The sequence below is a fragment of the Homo sapiens genome, chromosome 1, assembly GCF_000001405.40.
Source record: "Homo sapiens chromosome 1, GRCh38.p14 Primary Assembly".
NCBI lineage: Eukaryota > Metazoa > Chordata > Mammalia > Primates > Hominidae > Homo > Homo sapiens.
This window is the reverse complement of record NC_000001.11, coordinates 213545357-213569786: the sequence shown is the minus strand read 5'-3', so window position 1 is coordinate 213569786 and position 24430 is coordinate 213545357. Positions and strand designations below refer to the sequence as shown.

General features: G+C 39.3%; 1 protein-coding gene across 1 annotated transcript in view; it reads right to left on the bottom strand.

Annotated features, from left to right (window-relative positions):
* Positions 1–24430, bottom strand: part of RPS6KC1 (ribosomal protein S6 kinase C1) — an 811495-nt gene that overhangs the window by 292949 nt on the left and 494116 nt on the right. The window contains exon 17 of the transcript XR_007058661.1: positions 23340–23504. The gene's annotated coding sequence lies outside the window, so the exon portion shown is untranslated. The remainder of the gene's footprint in view (positions 1–23339; positions 23505–24430) is intronic.

The following is a 24430-nucleotide window of genomic DNA, read 5'->3' as shown; positions in this document are numbered from 1 at the left end:
AGGGAATGATGGCTGAATGCTATTCAGGTAGTAATTCCATGCTTCTGCCCTGACCACAAATGATCTATTTACTTGATTTTAGTGACTCCACAGTAGCTGTTATATTACCTCAGGGTAAAATTACTCATTTCTTGTTCCTAAGACCTAGTAATTTATATGCTGAACATGTAATAATCTATTATATCAAATACCAACTCCTATTGAAAAAAAAAATAGCTTGCTGCCGAGCATAACAGCCCTGGATACACAAAATGAGTACAGGTGACTTATGAGTTTACACAAAAGAGCCTTCTGTTCTGGATGCAGCTGTTTCAGAAAAACACAGCTAAGAGTATAGAAGGAAGCTGGGTAAGTAAATATTAGGAGAGGCCTTTAAAAGCAGCCTTGATCACTGGATCCTTAGGATGTGTTTGTTAGGCAAGGATGCCCTAATAATGCTTAATATTGAAACAACATTTACAATGCAACAGACAGGCAATAGGAAGGCTGTTTTTCTGAAAATGAGCAAGCGGAAACATGACAGACCTAAGGGAGAGCTAAGACCCACTAGGTTTTAGCTCACAACCTCAGACAAGTCAGCAAGGCACCCAACAGCAAGGAGCAAAGACCCGGGCATCAAATGGCTGGCACTGCCTGCCTGAGTACCTAGGAAAAGCACAGCCAAAGGGAAGTGAAAACTTTATCCCCAAGCCCAGGGTCCCTGACCACTCCACCCAAATGCTACAGTGGGAAGTACACTGGGGAGGGGGGAAGGGAGTTAGGTGCTGGTCGAGGGCACTCTGTGCTCTCCTTCCCACTTCCCTGGATCTCTCAGGCCTGATGGTGCTGCTGCAACAGTGGCCATGGCTGCTACTTCCCGCTCATGGTTGTTGGCAAGGCCCGTGACAATTTGCAGAGTCTGCCTCTCTCTCATCTTTTCTCCTTGACTCACAATTCCCTAAATCAGCACTTGAATATAGAGCACTAGTCCCTGTTCCCTTACCACAGTCAAGGAGAAAAAGCCCCAGCTTTGGAGTGAGGCCCATCTGGGTTTGAATGCAGGCATCATTATTTGCTAACATGTAACACTGAGCAAGTGACAATCTTGCAGGGCTTTTGCGTCCTCCTCTTTAAAATGGGCATGATATTGTTTACTGCAGAGAGTTACAGTTAAATGGTATGAGCCAGACTAAGAATCTAACCAAATACCTAGCCCTGGAGAACATTCTCTATAAATGGTAGTTCCCTTACCTGTTGGTCTGACTCTTTGTCCCCGCTAAGCTGCTCCATCTTCTATTGGAGTATAATTAGGAGCAGCTGGGAAATATCTGATAAAGTTTTACTTTATTCCATATGTCCTTGAATTGAATCTTCTGTCCTCGGTACTCCTCTTCTCACCATTAAGCCCCCTTCCTTTCATCTCTGGGGAAATCTGGAAACCAGAGGATAGTCCAGCCTCCCATGGAAAAGACTGGCACTAATCTGGTTAATGACATCCCAGAGCGATCTGTAGAGCAAATAACATCCTAGTTTGCCCAGAATTTTCCCAGTTCTAGCACTGAAAGTCCCATGTCCCAGGAAATACCTTATCCTAGGCAAACCAGGGCAGCTGGTTGCTCTATCTTTACAGTCAAATAGAAGGCTCATCATTTTTCAGATTTATTATTAACAGCAAGTGACTTAAGTAAAACTTAGTCAAAACTCAGCATGAGATACAGGAGTCTCATGTTCCTGCTGAGTGTTCTTGTCAGATATCAAAGTGTCACTTGGGAGTGGTCCCATATGGGACATCAAATGCTGTTCTTCCAGCCAGTCTGCAAGCTGGACCTGACAGGCAACTGGAAAAATCCAAAAGGCTCCTCAAAGACATACCCAGAAATAAAGTTATTACAGGACAAGGTTACTGACATTACTGACCCAGGCAGAGTAACTTTCCCAGGCCAGGGATGGGTTTCTCTAGCCTTGCAAGACAAGGGAACAAAAGCCTATACATTGGAATCATTCAAATGTTGGGAGAATCTCAACTCCATTACAATTACTAGCTGGTAAGACCTGGAGAAGCTGCTAATCCCTCTACACGTGTATTTCCTGCAATAATAATTCATATATTTTAGGGTTGTGAAGAATTAATACAATAATCCAAGTGAAATGCCTAACACAACTTTCATTTCTGGTATTGTATGGGATCAGATTACTTCAAGACTCTCCAAATATTAAACACCTAGAAAATGCTGAATAAGTTATAATGAACATTCTTTTAAAAGCAATAATTGGAAAGTGAGAGAAATTTCCAGAAACCCCAAACAAAGGGAGAACTGAAAACTAGAGTGGAACCCCAGAGCTGATACTGCAGCTGCCTGTGGGAGAGCTGCCAGATTATGTCACGTAAGGACTTAAGTGTAAGTGTCCACATGGAGTCGGGAGTTAGGTCTTGAGCCTACATGATACAAAGAAGTGAAATGCACATCCCATTTCCCCCCAGTATAAAGCCAGAAGCCTTGAAGCACCTCCTTAGATGTAGGATGAAATATACACAATCCACACTCAAACTCAGAAAGATGATCAAAAAGCTTAGCCGTCTCATACTAGGCTCTGGATGAGGGGAAAAAAATAGTCTCCTCTGATAACACATGATCACAGGTGTGACTTCATATGGGCTTGAGTTCAACTTTACTGTAGATGCATATTCTAGAAATTAATATAAAAAGTGACTAAGACCCATGACCTTGATGTGCCTGATAAAAACAAATGAAAAAATTTCTCTGAAGGGAAATAATGTTTCTCAAGCTAGAGGAGTCCTTCAGATAAATGTCCACCAACCATACATTACAATCCAAATTTATAAAAGAGCACATAAGGAAGCAATCCACAATGAGCAAAAGAGTCAGCAGACACAGCAAATAGCAGAATTTTAACTCCTGATAACATCCACTTAAAATAAACTATCAGAATTAAGCTAAAAATAAATGTTTAAAATGATGAAACATTTAAAAGAATCAAAAAGACAATACAACAAAATGACAATTATATTGAGAAAGGAATTAAAGAGAATTTCTAGAAACAAAAAAAAACATAGTCATAGTTATAGCATAGTTATAGCAGGCTAGACATAGCTGAAGAGAGAGTCAGTAAACTGAAAAATCTGAGGAATGAAAGATCTGAAGGTACCCGAATTGTAACACAAATTGAGAGCACCCAAATTGCAGAACAGAGAGGCAAAGAAATGTGAAAAAAGGGAGCAAAATATGAGAATGATAGGTTGAGAAATTTCACCCAGCATTAATAGGAAATCCAGAAGAGAGGAAAGGCAATATCCAAAAAAAAAAAAAAAAAAAAAAAAAAAAAAAAAAAAAAAAAAAAAAAAAAAAAACTAAAGGCTGAGAAGTTCCAAGAATTGAAAAAGAAGTAACTTTATGAGACCTGAGAGCAATAAAAGTCAACCTAAATACATGTCAGTGAAAGTTCAGAACACAAAAAGCAAAGAAAAGATGTTCAATAAAACCATGAAGAAAGTACAGGTTACTTTTTAAATAGGAATAATTATTAGACTGACAACAGTCCATTTTCCCCTAAATTTTATTTTAACATTTTCAAACACAGAGCAGAGTTGACAGAATTTCATAGTGAACACTTGTATAAACACTATGTAGGTACTACCAATAATATTTTACTCCATTTCATTGTATTTGCTTTATCACATATCTATCCATCTATCCATCTCTGCATTCATCCAACAATCTCTCATTTGCTTTTTGTTGTTGCTCTTTTATTTGGGGTGTTTGTGTGTGTGCATTTCACAGCAAATTACAGACATTTCTACACTTTTTCACTTTTTTTTTTTTTTTTTTGAGATGGAGTTTCACTCTTGTTGCCCAGGCTGGAGTGCAATGGCATGATCTCGGCTCACCACAACCTCTGCTTCCCAGGTTCAAATGATTCTCCTGCCTCAGCCTCCTGAATAGCTGGGATTACAGGCATGAGCCACCATGCCCAGCCTACAGGTTTTCTTAAATCTGTCAGCAAGGATTTCATTAATGAAGTTCGATATTTGTTTATGGATTTTTTTATATCAAATTTGCATGCAATGAAATATACAAATAATAAGTGTACATTGGTGTGCAACTCAAACACATATCAAATATAAAATAGTACCATCATCCACAGAAATTTCCCTTGTGTCCCTTTCTAGTCAAAATCCATCCCTATTCCCTTCAAAGTCAATCACTATTCTAAAGTTTTTCCACTGTAGATTAGTTTTATTGCGCTAGAGTTGCACATAAATGGAATTCTACATTTTTATGTAAGACTTCTTTCACTTAGTATACTAATTTTGAGATTCATCCATGGTGTTACACGTACCAGGAGTTCATCCCTTTTTATTGTTGAGTACTTTTCCATTATATGAGCATACCAATTTATTCATCCATCCTGCTGGTGGATATCTGGCCTCTTTCTACTCTAAGGACATTATCAATAAAGCTGCTGTGAACATTCTTGAACAAGTCTTTTTGTGAATGTATTTTTCTGTTTCTCTTAGTAAATACCTGAGAGTAGAATTGCTAAGTCATGGCGTAGGTGTGTACATTTATAAAAGACTGATCCCTTTCTCCAAATTTGTTATACAATTTTACATTTCTAATATATGAATTTCTGTTGTTATACATCTTTGCCAACATTCACTTTTAAAAACAAAATTTAACCTTTCTGGTGGAAGTTTAGTAGTATGTCACTCACTGTGGTTTTAATTTAAATGTTTTTCATGACTAGTAATGTTGAACACTTTTTAATGGACTTATTGGCCAGTTGAATGTCTTGCTTTATGAAGTGTTTATTCACAACTTTTGCTGACAACATACTTCTGAACAGCAACACGATAAAACAGAAAACAAGAAAGTAATATTTCATCAGTCAGGGTCCAGTATGGAGACTAAAGCTATATCAGTAACTTACACACACAAAAATTATTACGGTGAATTGTTAACTAATAAAAGGTTGTTAATTGTCAAACTGGGCAAAGCAAACCATAAGGTATAGGGAGGTAGGAACCACAGAAACAAATTACTAACCTTTGGGCTGAGAGAAAAGTGAACAAGAAGAAACTTAAAAATCTCAGAGGAGGGGATCCTGCAAAGTTGAAATTTAGACCTTTGAGGAAAAGGGGTAGTTGTCATAGGAACATGGTGCCTGTTGATATGGTGACAAAGAAACTGACCACTACTGAGCTACAAGAGCTGAAAGCCACTTTCCAATGTGGCAACAAAGAAACTGACTGAAGGACACCACAAATGAACAATGACCCCTATACCCTGATCTGCTCATTGCTGAACTATAAAACAGAATACCAGAAGGAACAAAGTTCCCTCTTCCTTCTTTTCCCAGGCTTTCAGTGTCCCTCTTGTGCCCTCTATTGGCAGAACCTAACACTAAGCCATCTGTCAAGGGAGAAATGTAATCTACAGAGTTTAGGTCCAATATCACAAAGTGTGGCAAAGAAGGGTGGTTTCAGAGCTAAGAAGCAATAAATTAACAACAGACATAAATATATTCAAAGTGCTGAGAAAAAATATGCCTGTGTACCCAGAATTTTATACCCAGTTAACCTATCATTTAAAAGTGAAGGCATAATAATGACTAAAAACGATTTTCTCTTTGTTATACTTTATACAACACATATAGGAGAAAATATGCAACATATAGGTAAGTTAAGACTTTTTCAGACAATTAAAATCTGAGAATTCATTACTAACAGTAATAAATGCAAGAACTATTATGGTACTTTCCCTCAAAGAGAAAATTGAATCCAGAAAAAAAAAGTAAAATACAAAAAAAAAAAAAGAGGTAAGCAAAAAAACTTGGTAAACATTTGAGTAAATAAATGGTAAGCAAATAAATTGGTAAAATTATAGGTAAATATAAATGAAAAATTACAGTATGAATAATTATAAAATAATAATTAATTTAGCGTATAAAAGTAAAGAGTAATTAAAATACTGGCCAACCATATGAAGATGAAAAGAAATGATCAGAATTAAAATGTTTTAAGCTCCTTGCATTTTTGGAAGACAGGTAGAATTCAAGGCCTTACTCCTTAACAATCTAGAAACATGATTGGTACTCCCTGGAAATGTACAACACAATCCTAGATGATATTTTCCAAGTCAAGTGTACAGGATATAATGTTAAGTTTACCTCTAAAGAACAGAGGTAAAATGAAAAACCTTAAAATCAGTAGAAAACAGAAAATAAAGTTTGATCAACTCCAAATAAAGTGGGAATGAAGAGTAAAAGAAAAAAAGTTTAACCACAATAAGTGGGAAACAAAATCTTTGGAGAAATAAATCTAAATGTATCAGTAATTGTAACAAATATAAATGAACTAAAATTCCAAAGTAAAAGACAGAGATTTTCTTATTGCTTTTTAAAAAATCAGATATATAATCTGTACAAAGACCTAGCCAAAATATAGCAGCATAAAATATTAAAAGAATGGAAAAAAAGATATATAAAAGATATATATCAACTGATAGAAACTTGATGTCACCACATTGATATCAGATGAAATAGATTTTAAGAATTATTAAAGAGGGGCTTTTTACAATGGTAAAAAGGACAATTTATCAGGAAAATAAGACAATTGCAAATGCCTATACACATAACATAACTCTGAAATATATGAAACAAAAATTAATAGACTTTCAAAGAGAAATTGACAAATCCAGCAATATGGTGACAGATAATATATTTCTTTCAAAGAGTAAATCAGGCAGACAGAAAAATGAATAAAGATATAGAAGATTCAACAACACCATTAACAAACTTTAAAGACATACAAAGAACTTTTCAGGGCAAGGCATGGTGGCTCACACCTGTAATCCCAACACTTTGGGAGGCCAAGGCAAGAGGACCACTTCAGGCCAGGAGTTCAAGACCAGCCTGGGCAACATATTGAGGCCCTGACTCTGCAAAATATTTAAAACTTATCTAGGGATAGTGGCACACACTTGTGATCATAGCTACTTGGAAAGCGGAAGTGGGAGGATCGCCTGTGCCCAGGAGTTCAGGATTACAATGAGCTCTCATTACACCACTGCACCTGAGCCAGGGTGACAGAGTGAGACTGTCTCTGTAAAACAGAACTTTGGCCAGGCGCAGTGGCTGACACCTGTAATCCCTGCACTTTGGGAGGCCAAGGCAGGCAGATCACAAGGTCAGGACATCAAGACCATCCTGGCAACTAAAAAATACAAAAAGTTAGCCGGGCGTGGTGGCCGGCAACTGTAGTCCCAGCTACTTGGGAGGCTGAGGCAGGAGAATGGCGTGAACCCGGGAGGCGGAGCTTGCAGTGAGCCGAGATCGCACCACTGCACTCCAGCCTGAGCGACAGAGCAAGACTCCGTCTCAAAAAAAAAAAAAAAAAAAAAAAAAAAAAAAAAAAAAAAAAAAAAAAACAGAACTTTTCAGGAAATTTTACGGAATATATTATTTTTAAGCACACATAAAGCACTGATAAAACTTGATCATATGCTGGGCTGCAAAGCAAATTTCAATACCAAAACTTGGTATCAAACAGACCAAATGCCCTGACCATTATACAAATAAATTAAAAGTTAATTATGAAAAGTCTTTGATGATTTCAAAAGCATACTTCTAAGTAAACTGCATAACACATCCCAAGACAGAGCATAAGACCTTTAACAATACTAGTCTTCATCCAACTAATTGACATCGCCAAGCCCAGTTCCTCATTTTGCTAACAGCTAGCATTTTATAGATGCTGCTCAAGGTCAAAGGTAAAATTAGTGGCTCTACAACAGAAGGAAGGAATCTGGCCTCAAAGGATATTGAAAGTGCAACCTTGACCCTACTGGGCTTGTGCCCCCAACAACTGACCTCCAGGAATTTAAAAGTACTTTAATCTGGAAAGTTCGACTTATATTATTCCTGGGGTAGACACATCCAGGTAGAGTTTCCCTTCTGCCATTTCAAAGAACAAAGTAACTCTCTCAAAGCTGAATTGGGCTATCTGCTCTCAAAAATATTTTAGAGAAAAGGAGCTGCTCAGTGGGGCTGGGTTATGTATTAGTGGGTGAGTGAGGGGGACCCAAATACCAAAAATGCTTCACTGTTTCTCCAAAGCTGACCCCAAAGAAAAGGGCACTGATCCCAGAAAAGAGAGGAGAGTAGCACATTGTGCACAGCATGGACTCAGGGCAACAGTGGTAAGGGAGCCCAGCTGTCTGTACCCTCATCTGCACACACCTAGCATCCCTTTGCTCTGAGCAGTGGACATACCATGAGGGCATTGCTGTACAAATGACATAAGAAGGAATTCCACCTTAACTAAAATATCAGCCTGCTTCTGGTGATTTTGGTAAATATGACTTCAGTCCTCTAGAACATCCATTCTCAAAGCAGGTAATATCACCCCAAGAGGGCAAAATTTGGTTCAGCGTGGTTGGAAGGTCAAAAAAAAATTAGCTATTACAATGGTTTATGGCTTTCCAAAGAACCACAGCACATAAATAGATTTACAGTATATCTGTGGTATAAAATTTCATGGGAAGGGGACACAATTAGGGAAAAGAAAGTCTTCAAAGACTCTATAAGGGGGCAGTCATGAGGATAAAAATGTTGAGAAACACTGCTTTAGCAGATAATACCCGAGTAGACGTATATTTGAGACTGGTGACCAGACCCTGCTCTGAGGTAATCCTATATGTAAGCCCCTAATCAACTAACCTCTCTTTCATTGCCAGCTTATAAATCTCAAGGAAAGGCATCAATCATATTAATGAGGGACCATGAGCCCAACTCTCTATTTTCCAATCAACCTCTTAGCAAATATTTATTTGGTACCTTCTGCAGCTATGCTGTACAATATGGTAGCAACATGGAAGGATGAGCTAGTATCTCCATCTGGGGCAAAAAGCAGGCTTGCCCACTGCTTACTATGAAAGGGTGAGTTACCCAAGCTCAGGATTCCCCCAACTGTGACACAAATACACCTCATGTGCCACATCCATCTGGGCCCTTTACATCATCCTCGTGAGATTTGGTGGGGGGGAGTTACATTTGTTTTCTATCACAGAGTAAAAAATTATCACAAAATTGGCAGCTTAAAATAATACTCATTTATTAGGTCATAGTTCTGTCGGTCACAAGGCCAGGCAGAGTTCCCTACTTAGGGTCTCAAAGGTTAAAATTAAAATATTGCCAGGCTGTGTTCTCATATGTAGGCTCTGGGAAAAAATTTACTTTCACACTTACACAGGTTGTTGGCAGAATTTAATTCCTCGTGATTGTATATCCGAGGTCCCCGTTTTCCTTACTGGCTGTCAGCAGGGTCCACACTCAGCTCAGAGAGGCCACCTGCATTCCTTGCCACATGGTCCCCTCCATGTCAAAGAAGCCATGTCTTCTTTGACAGTAAGAAATGGAGAATTTCATATTGCCAAATCTCTGCCATATTTTAAATATTTATGACTTCTCTGTCTCTGACCTCTAAACCCAGATTTAAAGGGGCCAGGTGAATAGGTCAGGCTCATCTACTTAATCTCCCTATTTTAAGGTTACCTGACTTGAGATCTTAATTATATCTGACAAATTCCTTTACAGCAGCGTTTGATTAAATAATTGGAAGAAGGTATGTGTATATCAGGGGCTGGGAGTCATTGGGGCCATTTAGAATTTTGCCTATTACAGGAGACTAGGGGAACTAAAGTAAACATGTTGATGTTCATGTTGCTTGCTGTGTCATGAGTAATAAAGTCCTTTATCTCTGAACCAAGAGTTTCATCATCTCTTCTGTCAGCATCCGTGAAATACTATAAGTAGCTTATTAGAAGGATGAAGTAAAATACCTGCTACGACATACACGTTGGATTTCAAAGACTTAGTATGAAAAAAAGCCTAAGTATGTAAAACATCTCATTAATAATTTTTATATTGATTCTATATTGAAATGGTAACATTTTGGAATAATGGGTTAAGTAAAATATATTATTAAAATTAATTTTACCTGATTATGTTTACTTTTTAATGTGGTTACTATAAAAAAATTAAATTACACATAGAAGAGGCTTGCATTATTTTTCCATCCAATAGCACTGATCTATATGCCTAGACAATACTAAAGTCCCAGGCCCTCGGGCAAAGGTTGCAGCACAAAAGCTTTGTCCTACAGATGTTTTGTTTGGCCAGCATAGTGTCCAAATTTTGTTCTTATTTAAATGCCTTCAGGTGAGGCATGTATCATTTAAATGCCTTCAGGTGAGGCATGTGTCTTATAGTATGTTATAGGTCCTATCATTCTCCATTGTTTTTCAACTGGCTCATTTGCCAATTTATTTTATCTAACTGACTTCTGTATGCACTTAAATGCTGTGGCCCTCGCAGTCACACTTATACTTTTTTTGGGCATATAATAAGATACTAACACAGGAGGGCTGCCAAAGGACAGCATTCAATCAAATGTTAATTTTCATGGTTCCAAAGGGCTCTATAAGCTTCAGAACAAAGGGTCCCCACTGGGCAGTGTGGTGGCCATGAGTCAGGAGAGCTGGTTCTAGACCAAGCTCGGTCACTAATTCAGTGGGAGACCTTGAGCAAGTCAATTCCCTCCTGTGTGCTCTGTTTCCTCAATGGCAAAGTGAAGGATGAAGCTAGAGGGCATCCAACTTCCCTGTGAAGATTTCAATTTGATGGTTTTGCTTTCTATATCAATCAGAGATAGCTTCCTAGAAGTCCAGGGCTTGAAGATATGTGCTTCTCTGTTCTTTGTACTGTTAAAAGAAAAAACTAGACTAATTACATTTAGCAGAGTTTAATTGATCAAAGAAAGATTCAAGAATCAGGAAGCCTCTTGAACTACAATATGTTTAGAGAGGCTCTGGAGCTATTGCATTGTCTAAAAAGATTTATGGACAGAACAAGGAAAGTGATGTACAGAAAACAGAAGCAAGGTGCAGTAACAGCCAGATTGGTTACAGCTCCATGTTTGCCTTATTTGAACATGGCTTAAAGAGTGGGCCACCTTTGATTGGCTGAAACTCAGTGATTGGCACAACAATAGGTTACAGTCTGTTTACACATCCAGTTAGGGTACAGTCCACTATGTATGGAGAAACTTTTAGGCCAAACTTAAAATATGTCAGAAGGCAGCTTCAGTCTAAACTTATTTTAACAGTGCGTGATTTCCATTGCTGTCATTGGCCAGAAAGACAGGGAAGAAGAGTCACGTAGAAGACTCAAAGGGCTGAAAAGCTCCAATGGGTAGTTTGTGAAAGAAGGAAGTCAAAACATTGGCTACAGTGTTGCTTTGTGCTCACTAGGGATGTAGAGATCATTCATGTTTTGGCCCCGTACCCCAAATGGTAGATAATCAGGTGCTGGCAGCATCCTGATACCTACATCGGCTCCTTACTCCCTTCCTCTCCTGACAATGGCATTTTGTAGAATCCAGAGGCAGGTGCCGCAAGCCAGGGCTGAGTGAGCGTGAGCAGGGGTTTGTGGTTGGCAAGTTCCCACTCTCTCTACCCATGACATCTTTTTCATAACCTGAATTTCTTTAATTAAAAAACATCTGCCAACTCCTGTTATCTGCAAAGATGTGCCATAGCAACTCTCACTGCAAGCCCCTTACGTAGCTGATGCAAACAGGTGGAAGAAAAGCCTCTGTAAAGCCTCCCAAGTTTAAAGAAAGGGAAGAAAAGGAAGCTCACCAACATGTGTGTGCATGTATATGTGCATGTGTGTCTGTGTGTGTAACATGGAAGGATGTAGATAGGCAGATCTCTCTTGCAACTCATCCTTCTAGAAAGTTTTCCTTCTCTTTCAGAGAAGGTTAGGGGAATTAGGGAACATGAGCAGCATATCACAAAATATGACGGGCACCTCTTGACAAACTCAACCCACTGAGAAACAATTCCTTTTACTTAGCCTTATTTGTTAGGATTTTTATTACATTTTGATTAGAATGAGTCTGATGGATGCAGTGGGAAGAGGCAGCCAGATCTCCACTGCCTTTGTCCTCTGCCCCATGAACAATGACATCTAAAAGAAAATCCTCAACAATAACCTTAAGGAGGAGAGACAACACTGGCATGCCCTCAGCCACAGTACAAATGGAGACCACATACTCCAGGTCTACCATATATCAAGCTAACATATTAAAATACCCACATAGTAAATAAAATATTTTGTATCCTCATGCCTTATAAATACCTTCAAATCAACCTAGAAGGCCAGTTTCACATTTAGAATTCTCATACTCCTTAGAGCTCTGCACTGGACATGGAGGTGTGGAGTTAATCCCAGGGTCCCATCCTGCCTCTTCTTCCCTCTCCAGCATGGCTATGTCCTGCACAGCACAAGCCTCCCACACATGCAGATGCTCCAGTCCACACACCCAAGCTCCCAATATGCCCTCTACAAACAGCTGCCCTGTAGCCAGCATGGAGACTTTGTGTGTCTTCCGACTTCTGGAGGCCTGACTTAGGAAAAAGGTGATGCCAGGCCTGGAAACTCAAGAATTCTGGGTTGATGAACTCAGAGCATACACTAGAAAGTGGGGGTGGAGAGGTATGAGCTCAGAGTGGGCACACATCCTTCATCCTGTGGATGCCTCACCTTGCATAGAGAAGCACAGTCAGAAGAGGGCTGAAGCAGGCCCCTAAAAGTAGAGGGATAAGGTGAGGAGCCATCTAGTTTGGGTCTAAGACAGTGCTGATCTCATCCTCTTACTTCCATCCCTGGGCCTCCTCACACAATGGATCCACAGGCGTCTACCTGCCTATCAATTCCTAAAGAATGCTCCTCTCTTCCACTGTTTAGTCCTAGGAAGACTGTCCCAATTCTGAGAGAGGGAATAACCCCCCACCCCACCTGGATTAAATGAGCTCCATGACTGGCTCCACAAATCTGTAATGGAAATATTACAGAAGTAACGAATGATGCTCTGTGTCTCAGGGTTAGCTTCCTGACCTGACAGTTTCCAGAGGGCAAAGAACTTTGTGTGTGCTTGGGGCTTTCCCTCAGCACATTCTCTACCATGGCTCAAGGTGGACAATGAAACTTAAGCAATACCTTTTAAAATAATGCTTTTTAGATGATGATAATGTCTGATGCCTGGCTTGTTGTGTTAGCAGTCCTTAGGACAAACCTCTAAATCTGCAGCCAAAAGATCACTTGCCTCCAGGGAAGCCCAGCAATTATCAGGCAAGGATAACTGCTTAAAAATTTCTTCATATTCTTAATATAAGTTCCATCCACCAATTCTGTTCTTCTGTTCTCTGCAGCAGCAGCCTAGGTAAGCCTGCTCCCTCTGCATAAATCTTAACAGCCTTTGTTCTTTAACTTCTCAAACTGTATGTGATAGTTTGTGCAAAGAGACTAATGCTGTACTTGTTACGTACTAGACACTTAAATAATGTACTATTGTTACTATTGCTAATTTCTTTCCATTCTTCTTTAAAAGGTTTAAAAAAGTAAAAATAAATAAATACAGATAAATCCCATTCTTTACATGTTTCTCCACCTTTTTTGATCCCAGTCTGCCTCCCCTTCCAATTCCTCCCCACATATTACAGGGCATGGCAAGCAGAATGGGAAAAACATGCACACTCTTGTCTTAAAATCCCAACTCAAACTTGGCTAAGGACAAAATATTTACCTAGTGGTAAAAACATTCAATAAATCCTCAATGATTTATTGGATTATTCAACTACAAGGTGTCAAATATTCTAGTTCTTTTCTCACAGCATCTTAAATTATGTCACCAACAGTGAAGACTTCATGTAATACTAGGCAGTGGCTCTGATTTTTGAAGAAGGAGATTAAGTTGTAAGGGGACTGAAGACATGGAGTCTCATACCCCATTCTGGCCACAGAGGTGAAGAAACTCCAAGCCAACCTTCCCAAGCATTCTTAGAGAAAAAGATGAAGGAAAAGGAGCCAGGAAAAGGGTTAGAAGTGGAAAAAAGAGTTCAAGAGAAACAAACTGTGGTAGAGTAGAAAGAAACTGTTGATTTTACTTGGAGAGAGTTAAGTGAAATTAGTTTATAGAAAATCCAAAATAGTATCTCCTTGGATTTCTAAATATGCTTAAGAGTAACCACAATTCACAGTACCCAGCACAGCACTACAGCCTGTTGAAAGAGAAAGAGAAAGAAATATTACTATTCACGACTAGTAATCAACCAACTGATATAAACATTAATAAGAAATAGCACTACTCAGAAGGCAGAGATGGGAGGATCACTTGAAGCCCAGGGGGTCGAGGCTGCAGTGAGCAAAGATCCAGCCTGAGTGACAGAGTGGGACCCTGTCTTAAAAAAACAAAAGCGAAAACAAAATAGCAAAAATGAAATATTCAAGCAATCCCCAGAACTTCCCAGAGCTGCAAAGTGCATAAAATGGCAGGAATACATTTTCAACAGATAGATATCTTCAGCAGCATTACCTAAAATCTCTACCATGTGCTTCCCTTGCTAACACTGTCAACTGCCAAGGGCCTTGCTGCCAGGGAGGGAGTGGGCATGGGGGAAATGGGGCCCTAGTTTGTTCTGATTCTTCAGTGGCACTTTCAAGTTGCAACATTTTCAAACATTCGTTCTTTGTAGTAGCCTTTTGGATGATCTTAGCAAGCCTTTCTGGGTAAACTGTCCTTAAAACAAGTTGAACACCTGATTTTATGATGAGAGCTTTCTTCTACGAATAGGTGTGCTTATGAATGGCCATCATGAATAAAATACCACTTCCCACTCCCAAAGCTAGCCACACAGGCTCATTCATGACTGTTGTTTTCTATACTTTATGCTTTAAAAAATTCTATCCTTGTATCATATTTGTCAGGATTCTTCTATAAAGGTGACGGAGGGGTATGCCTAAGTCAGCAGTAGAAATTCTGAGTGGGAAAAAATTTATTAAAATGTATTATGTTATAATGAAATGCATAATGGACAATTTGAGTATTAAAAGATAGACTCTAGAGTATGTTCTAAAAGGAGAGACCAGAGCAAAGGAAGCACTGAATGAATATCTCTGCATCAGGATATAAGAGAAATTTTTTCTGTACTTATAATCAGAACGGTGGTTAAACAAGAAGTTCAGAGACTGGAGACCATTCAGAAGATGTAAAGGAGAGAGGAAGTAGGTACAAAAAGTGCAACACGCAACATGGAGATAGAAAAAAGGTGGTTGCTGAGAATTCCAGGTTCTGGGTATGGCTGAACAATTTTAAACAATTGTGATATTCAGAATTAGAAAATAAAAATTCTAAAATTCATTTGGAACCAAAGAAAAGTGCCCAAATAGCCAGTGCAATCCTAAGCAGAAAGAACAAAGCTAGAGGCACCACACTACCTGCATTCAAGGCTATACTACAAGGCTATAGTAACTGAAACAGCATGGTATTGGTACAAAAGCAGATATATAGACCAATGGAACATGTTAGAGAAACCAGAAATAAAGCCACACACTGATAACCATGTGATCTTCAACAAGACAATAACAAGCATGGGTAAAGGACTCCCTATTCAATAAATGGTGCTGGGAGAGCTGGTTAGCCATATGCAGAAGATTGAAACTAGATCCCTGTCTTTCACCATATACAAAAATCAACTCAAGATAGATTAAAGACTTAAATGTCAAACCTAAAACTATAAAAACCCTAGAAGAAAACCTAAGAAATACTATTCTGGACATCCGCCCTGATAAAGACTTTATGATGAAGACTTCAAAAGCAATTGCAACCAAAAACAAACATTAACAGGTGGGGCCTAATTAAAGAGCTTTTGCAAAGCAAAAGAAATTATCAACAAAGTAATCAGACAACCTAAAGAATAGGAAGAAAATATTTGCAAACTATGCATCCTATAAAGGTCTAATATCCAGAATCTATAAGGAATTTAAATCAACAAGCAAAAAACGAACAACCCCACAAAAAAAATGGTCAAAGAATCTGGACAGACACTTTCCAAAAGAAGTTATACACACAGCAAGCAAGCATATAGAAAATGATCAATATCACTAATCATTAGGTAAATGCAAATCAAAACCACAATGAGATAGTATCTCACACCAGTTTGAATGGCAATTATTAAAAAAATCAAAAAATAACAGATGCTGACAATGTTGCGGAGAAAAGGAAACGCTGATACACTGCAGGTGGGGCTGTACATTAGCTCAGCCACTGTGGAAAGTACATTGAGTACTACGGAAAGCAGTATGGAAATTTCTCAAAGAACTTAAAATAGAAGTACTATTTGATCCAGCAATACCATTACTGGGCATATACCAAAAGGAATATAAATCATTCTACCATAAAGACACGTGCATGCATATGTTTATTGCAGCACTATTCACAATAGCAAAGACATAGAATCAACCTAGATGTCCATCAATGGTGGCCTGGATAAAGAAAATATGGTAAATATACACCATGGGATACTATGCAGCCATAAAGAATGAAACCACGTCCTTCGCAGCAACATAGATGGAGCTGGAGGCTATTATCCTAAGCAGATTAACACAGGAACAGAAAACCAAATACCATAAGCTCTTACTTGTAAGTGGGAGCTAAACATTGAGTGCACATGGACACAAAAAAGGGAGCAATAGACATTAGGGCCTACTTAAGGGGAGAGGATGAGAAGAGAATGAGGATTGCAAAACTATCTATCAGGTATTAGGCTGATTACCTGGGTGACAAAATTATCTGTACACTGAACTTCTGCAACACACAATTTACCCATGTAACAAACATGCACATGTACCCCTTGAACCTAAAATAAAAGTTGGAAAGAAAAGAAAAAAAAAAAGAATGGTAATATCTGCTATTACACTTTAAACCATTATGGGGTACCATACTGCAACCTCTCTCCCGTGGCCCAAACCTCAGTGGATCAGTAGTGCTTGAAGGTAGAAGGGAGAGAAAGAGAGGTGAGAGATGAAAGGAATTACAAGAAAAAGCAGGCTACATTTCACGTTTGCAACTGCTTTCCTCCGAGTAGTGATCAAAGATTCACTGGACACAGGAAATTCTAGCTAGAAGTGACTAAGAAAAATAAAAGCACCTCCACTTCCAAAAATCTTCAGAGGCATTGATGGTAATATTGGTGCCATATGGAGATTGAGACTTTATGTCAGTTTAAAAATATATATTAAAAACAAGCCACGGCCTGGGAGAAAATATTTGCAAAAGAGATACTTAATAAAGGTTACCCAAATATACAAACAACTCTTCAAACTCAATATTAAGAAAATAACTGTATTAAAAAATGAACAGATACCTCACCAAAGAAGATATACGGATGGAAAATAAGATATGGAAGATGCTCAAAATCATGTTATTAGGGAAATGTAATTAAAACAATGAGATGCCACTGTACACCTATTACAATGGCCAAAATCCAAAACACTGACGAGACCAAATGCTGGCAAGGATGTGAAGCAACAGGAACTCTGTTTCATTGCTGGTGGAAATGCAAAATGATACAAACACTTTGGAGACAGTCTGTCAGTGGTTTTTGTTTGTTTGTTTTCTTAGAAAACTAAACATACTCTTACTACATCATCCAGCAATTACATCACTTGGTATTTACCCAAAGGAGTTGAAAACTTGTGTCCACACAGAAACCTGCACACAGATGTTTATGGTGGTTTATTCATAATTGACAAAACTTGGAAATGAATGTGATGTCCTTCAGTAGGTGAATGGATAAATAACCTGTGGTACACCCAGATAGTGAGATATTATTCCATGCTAAAAAGAAATGGGCTATCAAGTTGCAGAGATGGAGGAAACTTAAATGCATATTACTAAGTGAAAGAAGCCAATCTGAAAGGGCTACATGCTATATAATTCCAAACTATATGACATTCTGGACAAAGCATAACTATGGAGACAATAAAAAGATTAGTGGTTGCCAGAAGTTAGTGGGAGAAAGGGATGAATAGGCAGAGCACAGAGGAATTTTTGAGCAATGAAAATAGTCTGTATGATGCTACAATGGTGAATACCTGTCATACATTTGTCCAAATCCACAAAATGTGCAACACCAAGAAAGAACCCCGGCGTAAACGATGGACTTTGGGTGACAGTGATGTGTCAGTGTATGTTCACCAAGTGTAAGAAACGTACCACTTAGGTGCTGGATGTTGATAGTGGGGGAGGTAGTGCCTGTGTCGGGGCAATATATACGGGAACTCCCTATACGTTCTGCTTAGTTTTGCTGTGAACCTAAAACTATTCTAACAAATACATATATATACATACATGTACTGTACTTAAGAAGTGTAGAACACAGGAAGTCCCAGATGGCTGACACCTGGGTCAAGATACCAACATTCATGGAGAGTAGGGAGAAACAACTCACCAGTAGTCAAAAGTTCCCGAGCACTTAGACATTACCCAGGTACCACCGTGGAGGGCTCCTTTACTTCCTGGTGCACTTTCCTTCCCCCTTTTGTCTGGGCTGAACATGTGACCAGTCCTGGGCAATGAAATGTAAATGGAAACAGCCTATGTCCTTGCCAGAGCTTTTAAATCAACAGTACCTGAATCTCCAGGCTTCTCTGTCTCTCCTGTGGCCATGGTACAAGTGCATATTGGGATGGAGATGCTAAAAAGTCAAAGCAGTCTGGATGTCGGGCTGGGGACCTGGAGGGGAATTGCTGTGGCTATTCAGCAGCACCTATGGCTTTGCATGAAGAAGAAATAAAAAATTCTGCAGAGTTCAGCCCCTGAGGTTTAGGGTTGTTTGCTGCCAGAGCCCAACCTGGCCCAACCTGACTGCTACCCCAAGTTTCAGTTTTCAGTTCAAATTCCTTGAGGCCTGACTGGTGCACTTAGGCAGAGCTCTCTAACCTAGCAGGAAACCCGGGAACAGTAGAACGCTGAAACTGTCGTGGGGAAAGCCATAATAATTCTTAGGTTTTGAGGTGAATTCAGTTTTGAGGTTTTTCTCCAATCTAAGCAACACTCAGGTCAGGGTTACAGTGCCCATTTTGCTTTTTCCGGTTTCCCAGAGAATGTATTTTTAGGGGAGAGCAGAGATGGTTACCATCCATCATTTTGGAAAGTCATGAGATTTACAGAGATAGATGCCTAAACAAAGGACAAGCGTATTAACAAATCGAGCTGTCCAAAAGTCAGGGCTAATGTTAACCAAGATGAGCGTTACTGCGATTCCATCAAGATGTCCTGTTATTTATTTAACTTTTCCATTTTCATTTTTTATTTGGGTAAGATAATTGCTTATGATAAGCCTTGGGTGTGGAGAGCCGGTGCATACAGAGTGGCGAGGCAAGCTTCAATCTGCAGTCTCGAGATGCACTGGGGAAGCGAATCGATGTATTAACATATTGAAATGATCTCAATTAATGTCCTTTAGTACTTTTCTTTAAAAAAAGAGGACCTCTCCAAAGTGAATGGACTACTCCCTACCAACAGGGAAAAGAAAGCCTGTTAGGAGAAAAATGTGCTTACCTGCCTGAGGAAAGAGGATCTCAGAATTCTGAGTCAATTTCGTAAGAAACAAAAATAGATGCAGTGTTTCTTCCCCCTGGGTCTGACACCGCAATGTTACCCATGTATCTCACTTCATAATATCTATGCTTGTGCCTCCCATTGCTTCTTGCCAAGACCGTAAACTGAACAACACTAGGGCTTTGGTGCCATAGGTCCTAAAATAGAACTTCAGTAAATGAGAGCTGTTTATTTAAATGATGACTTCAGCACACAATTATGATTATTTCAATGGAAAAGTAACCATGACATTCAGGCTCTCATGTGCCTGCTGTGCACCCCTCAGCCCCTTATCCCCTGATGCCCCTCTCCCCACTGCCCTCTCTCTTCTGGCCTGAATACCCTAGAAGCTTAAGTAGAAGCAAACCTGGGTGTGGTGCTTGCTTCTGTGAAACTGGTAATGGTTTGGGGCCTATTTTAGTATTTTCTTGGATAACAATAAAAAGAGCCACCAGGCTTGGGTGGTGCTGATGATGAGCCCCAGAAATAGTATTGCTATCCTCTTTCTAATAGGTGAGAAAACTGAGGTTTAGGGAGTAACTGGCCCAGGGTCACACTTCTACTGAAGCTGCTGAAACCAACAAAGAAGATGGACAGGGGATGTTGTTAGAGGCATTGTTCCTTCCTTAACATGCCCTGACTACCAAAAAAAAAAAAAAAAAAAAAAAAAGGAAAAGAAAAAGAAGAAGAAGAAGAAGAAGAAAAGAAAAGAAAAATGCCTGCCTCCTTCTTGCCCTACTTTGATGAATTAAAAGGTAGAAGAGAACAGGGAACATTTTTCTTTGGCCCTTCTTTATACTCCTTCTGATAATGACTGACCTTAGCAAGGGACATGACCCAAAAGAGAAAACAAAGAAGTAAACAATATCAAAAGGATTTTGACCCTTCAATCCTCTGTTCATCTAAAACAACCAATAATTTACAATCCAGCTAAAATCCTTGCTGGTCCAAGAGCCTTCCTTGGTTAGTCCATCTGGAGTGATTTCTCTCTCCACCGAGGGCCTTCCTCCACCACCTAAGACTCTCTTGGCCCTGGTGATCCATTGCTTGAGGGGTCCCTGCCTTCTGCACCCCAGAGGTCATGCCCCAGTCAGTTTTGGATTCACTGCACCACAGACATAAAAATTAAGTAAAGAGGGATAATCATAAACTCAGGAGGCACATTCTATCTCCTGAGCCCAGGGACTTTGGGGGACTCCCACTGGGGGAAATGGAGCCACCAGAAGCATGTATTCAGCCTCCCTTTGTGGTAGGAGCTGGAGCAAGCAAGACAGATGCAGGCTAAGGGGATCTCACAGTTCATGAGAGTTTCCCTCCCATAAACAGGATTACATTGATTTGCTCTAACAGTATTTTATTTCTAGTTAACTTTAACTTACAATTCTTATGTGGCTTTGTATTTTTAAAAGTTAGGAAATATATATTGAATACAATAAAGTATATAAAGCATATATGTACAGTTCCAAGAATTATAATAAAATGATTTCCCATGAGCCCACCATATAGATTAAATCATACAATATTACTAATACCTGTGTGTCCCTCCTCATCCCAATCCTACTTCTTACTCCATTATCCATGTTTTATATTAACCATTTCTTTGCTTTTCTTTTTTCTTTTTTTGAGACAGACTCTTGCTCTGTTGCCAGGCTGGAGTGCAGTGGCACGATCTAGGCTGACTGCAACCTCTGCCTCCCAGGTTCAAGCGATTCTCCCACCTCAGCCTCCTAAGTATCTGGGACTACAGGTGTGCGTCACCAAGCCCAGCTAATTTTTGTACTTTTAGTAGAGATGGGGTTTCACCATGTTGGCCAGGATGGTCTCGATCTCTTGACCTCGTGATCCGCCTGCCTTCGCCTCCCAAAGTGCTGGGATTACAGGCGTGAGCCACCACTCCCAGCCTGCTTTTCTTTATAGTTTTACCACACACACATGTATCACTACAAAATATATTGTGTGGGTTTGCCTATTTTTTCTACTTTTCTATAAATGAGAAATTCATTTATTTATATACTTTTCTATAAATGAGATGTCTTCTAACTTGCTTTCTAAAATTTCTTTGCCCAACACAGTATCTGTAAGATTCAACCATGTTGAAAGGAGCTGTAGTTGAATCACTTTTGCTGCTCTGTAACTTGGTATCATGTAAATACACCACAATATGTTTATGCATTCTATTTAATTGCAAATTTAATTGCAAAAACTGCAGTTACTTTTGCATCAACCTAACACTTCTGGTGGATATGAGGACTAATTCTACTTTTTTGGCACTTACTATACCAACGACACTTCTATGAAAATCCTTGTACACATGTCCTGGTGCATATATACCAGTATTTCTCTAGAGTGCTGTCTTAGTCTGTGTTGCTATAAAGGAATATCTGAGGCTGAGTAACTTGTAAAGAAATGAGATTTGTTTGGCTCACAGTTATGCCAGCAGTACAAGAAGCATGGCAACAGCATCTGCTTCTGGTGAGAGTCTTAGATCGTTTCCACTCACGGTGGAAAGTAAAGGGGAGCAGGAACCACATGGCAAGAGGAAGGACGAAGAAAAAGGCAGAAGCAGGTGCCAGTCTCCTTTCAACAATTGGATCTTGAGGGAACTAACAGAGTAAGATTTCACTCTCAACCAAGAGGACAACCATTCATAACAAATCTACTCTTATGACCCAAATACCTCCCATCAGGCCCCACCTCCAACACTAGTGATCAAATTTCAGTGTGAGATTTGGAAGGGACAAATATCCAAACTACATCAGGTGCATACTATAGAAGCGGTTCTTTTTGTTATTGAGACAGAACATCTTCAATTTTGCTAGATAACGTCAAATGGTTTTCCAAAATAGTGGCAGAATTTGAGACTCTCCCTAGCATTGTATAAGAGTTTCTTTTATTCCACATTCTCACCAGCATTGGTACTGCCTGTGGCAGGCATTTCTAGGTAGAAGCATTTAGACATGTTAAATATAATGAAAAAATCTAGAGCCAGGAAAATCAATCTGTAAGGCTTCAAAGTCAGACTCACATGTAAAAATATATCTGGATATGCTAGTTTATTTATTAAAAGAGTATGGCTGAGGTCAGCATCAACAGTCATAAATCATGCTGATAGCAGGTACCTTTAATATGATGTGATGAAAATGGTAGTTCACCCCTGCAGTCTTCCTCCCAAACCCCATAACCTCAGTCTAATTAAAAAAAATTCTAATAGAGGAACATACTACAATAGACTTGAGAATCATTTCTCAAAACTAGGAAAGTCTGCAAACCTATCACAGTGGAGAGGAACCTAAGGATAAATAAATGTAATAGAGTATCCTAGATGGGATCCTGGACAGTAACAGAACATTAGCTAGACCCACATGTGCATGCCAAGGCCATGGCAAAGGTCTAAATAATTGATCCAGTGGAAATTGAAATAAATGATGGACCTTAGTTAAGAATAATGTATCGATATTGATTCATTAGTTGTAACAAATGTACCATACTGAGGCAAAATGTTAAAAACAGGGGAAATGGTGTGAGGGTTGGTGGGGGAGGACATGAGAACTCTCTATACTATCTGTTCAATAGTTCTGTAAGTCTAAAACTATTCTAAAAATTAGGCCTATTAATTTTTTTTTAAAATAATGCAGCTTCAGCTGGGCACACTGCCAAAATCCTAACATATAAAATTCTAAATTCATACACTTAAGAGAAGTTAGGATAAACTTTCATATTGCACAAGGACTCATTAGTTATACTTATAAAATGTAATAATATATGTTGGGTACAGCCACATCTATCTACAGATACATTGGGTCTCTATGCAATGAGAAGCCTTTTTCAAACTTACCCTCCTCTTGTGGATCAGTTACTTATCCATTCATCCATGGACATGGAATGCCCACATGGAACTAGCCAAGTGAATCAGTGATGTCTCCATCCTCACTCTGCCTGCTGACAGTAGAATGTTCTTCTCATGGTGAGAATGGACTCCACTGAATGATCAGCTTTGTGCCTATGGAAAGGAAACTCCATGAGGGAGAGGTAATGTCTGCTTCCCTCATCACCATACACTTAGTTCCCAGCATAGTGCCTGGCAGAGTAAGTGCTCAACAAATTTTTGTTGAATTAATAAATTACTACCCAAAGAACAGTATATTTTCTATATTGCTCTTTAGTTCATGTGCTCATTCCAGAAAGGAACATTCGACCCATTTCTGGGCTTCGGTCCAGGTGAGCGGGGGAGGCAGCATCTCTCTTCTCGTTAGGACTATGGTCACCCTAGCCCAGTATCAAGGAGCTAGTGCCCTGGGCCTGATTACAGGGGAGACATTTACAACGCTCCTGAATAAAAGAAGGGTTCACTGGGATCAAGCACATGGCTACAGGGATCCCATGGAAGAAGCCCCCATCCCAGAGCTGTCCGGGAACACACACAAGAGGAATGAGACTGCATGTGCACAGCATGGTAATAGTTGGTGGGTGGGGGAAGCTGTGTTGATTATAGAGAAAGAGCAGAATGTGGGAGAACTTAGAAGCAGATCTCTTCTTCACAGAGCCCACACAATCTAAGATACTCATATGGGTTGAATTGTGTCCCCCCAGTGTGTTGAAGTCCTAACCCCCCAGTACCTCAGAATGAGACCTTATTTGGAGATAAGGTCTTTGCAGAGGTAATCAAGCTAAAATGAGGTCATGAAGGTGGACCTTAATCCAATGTGACTGGTGTCTTTACAAAATGGAGAAATTTGGACACAGAGACAGACACTCACAAAGGAAAGATAATGTGAAGAGGCACAGGGAGAAGACTCATCTACAAGCCAAGGAGAGAGACTTGAAATAGATTCTCTCTCTCTCTCTCTCTTTTATTTTATTTTATTTTATTTATTTATTTATTTATTTATTTATTTATTTATTTATTTATTTGAGACAGAGTTTCAC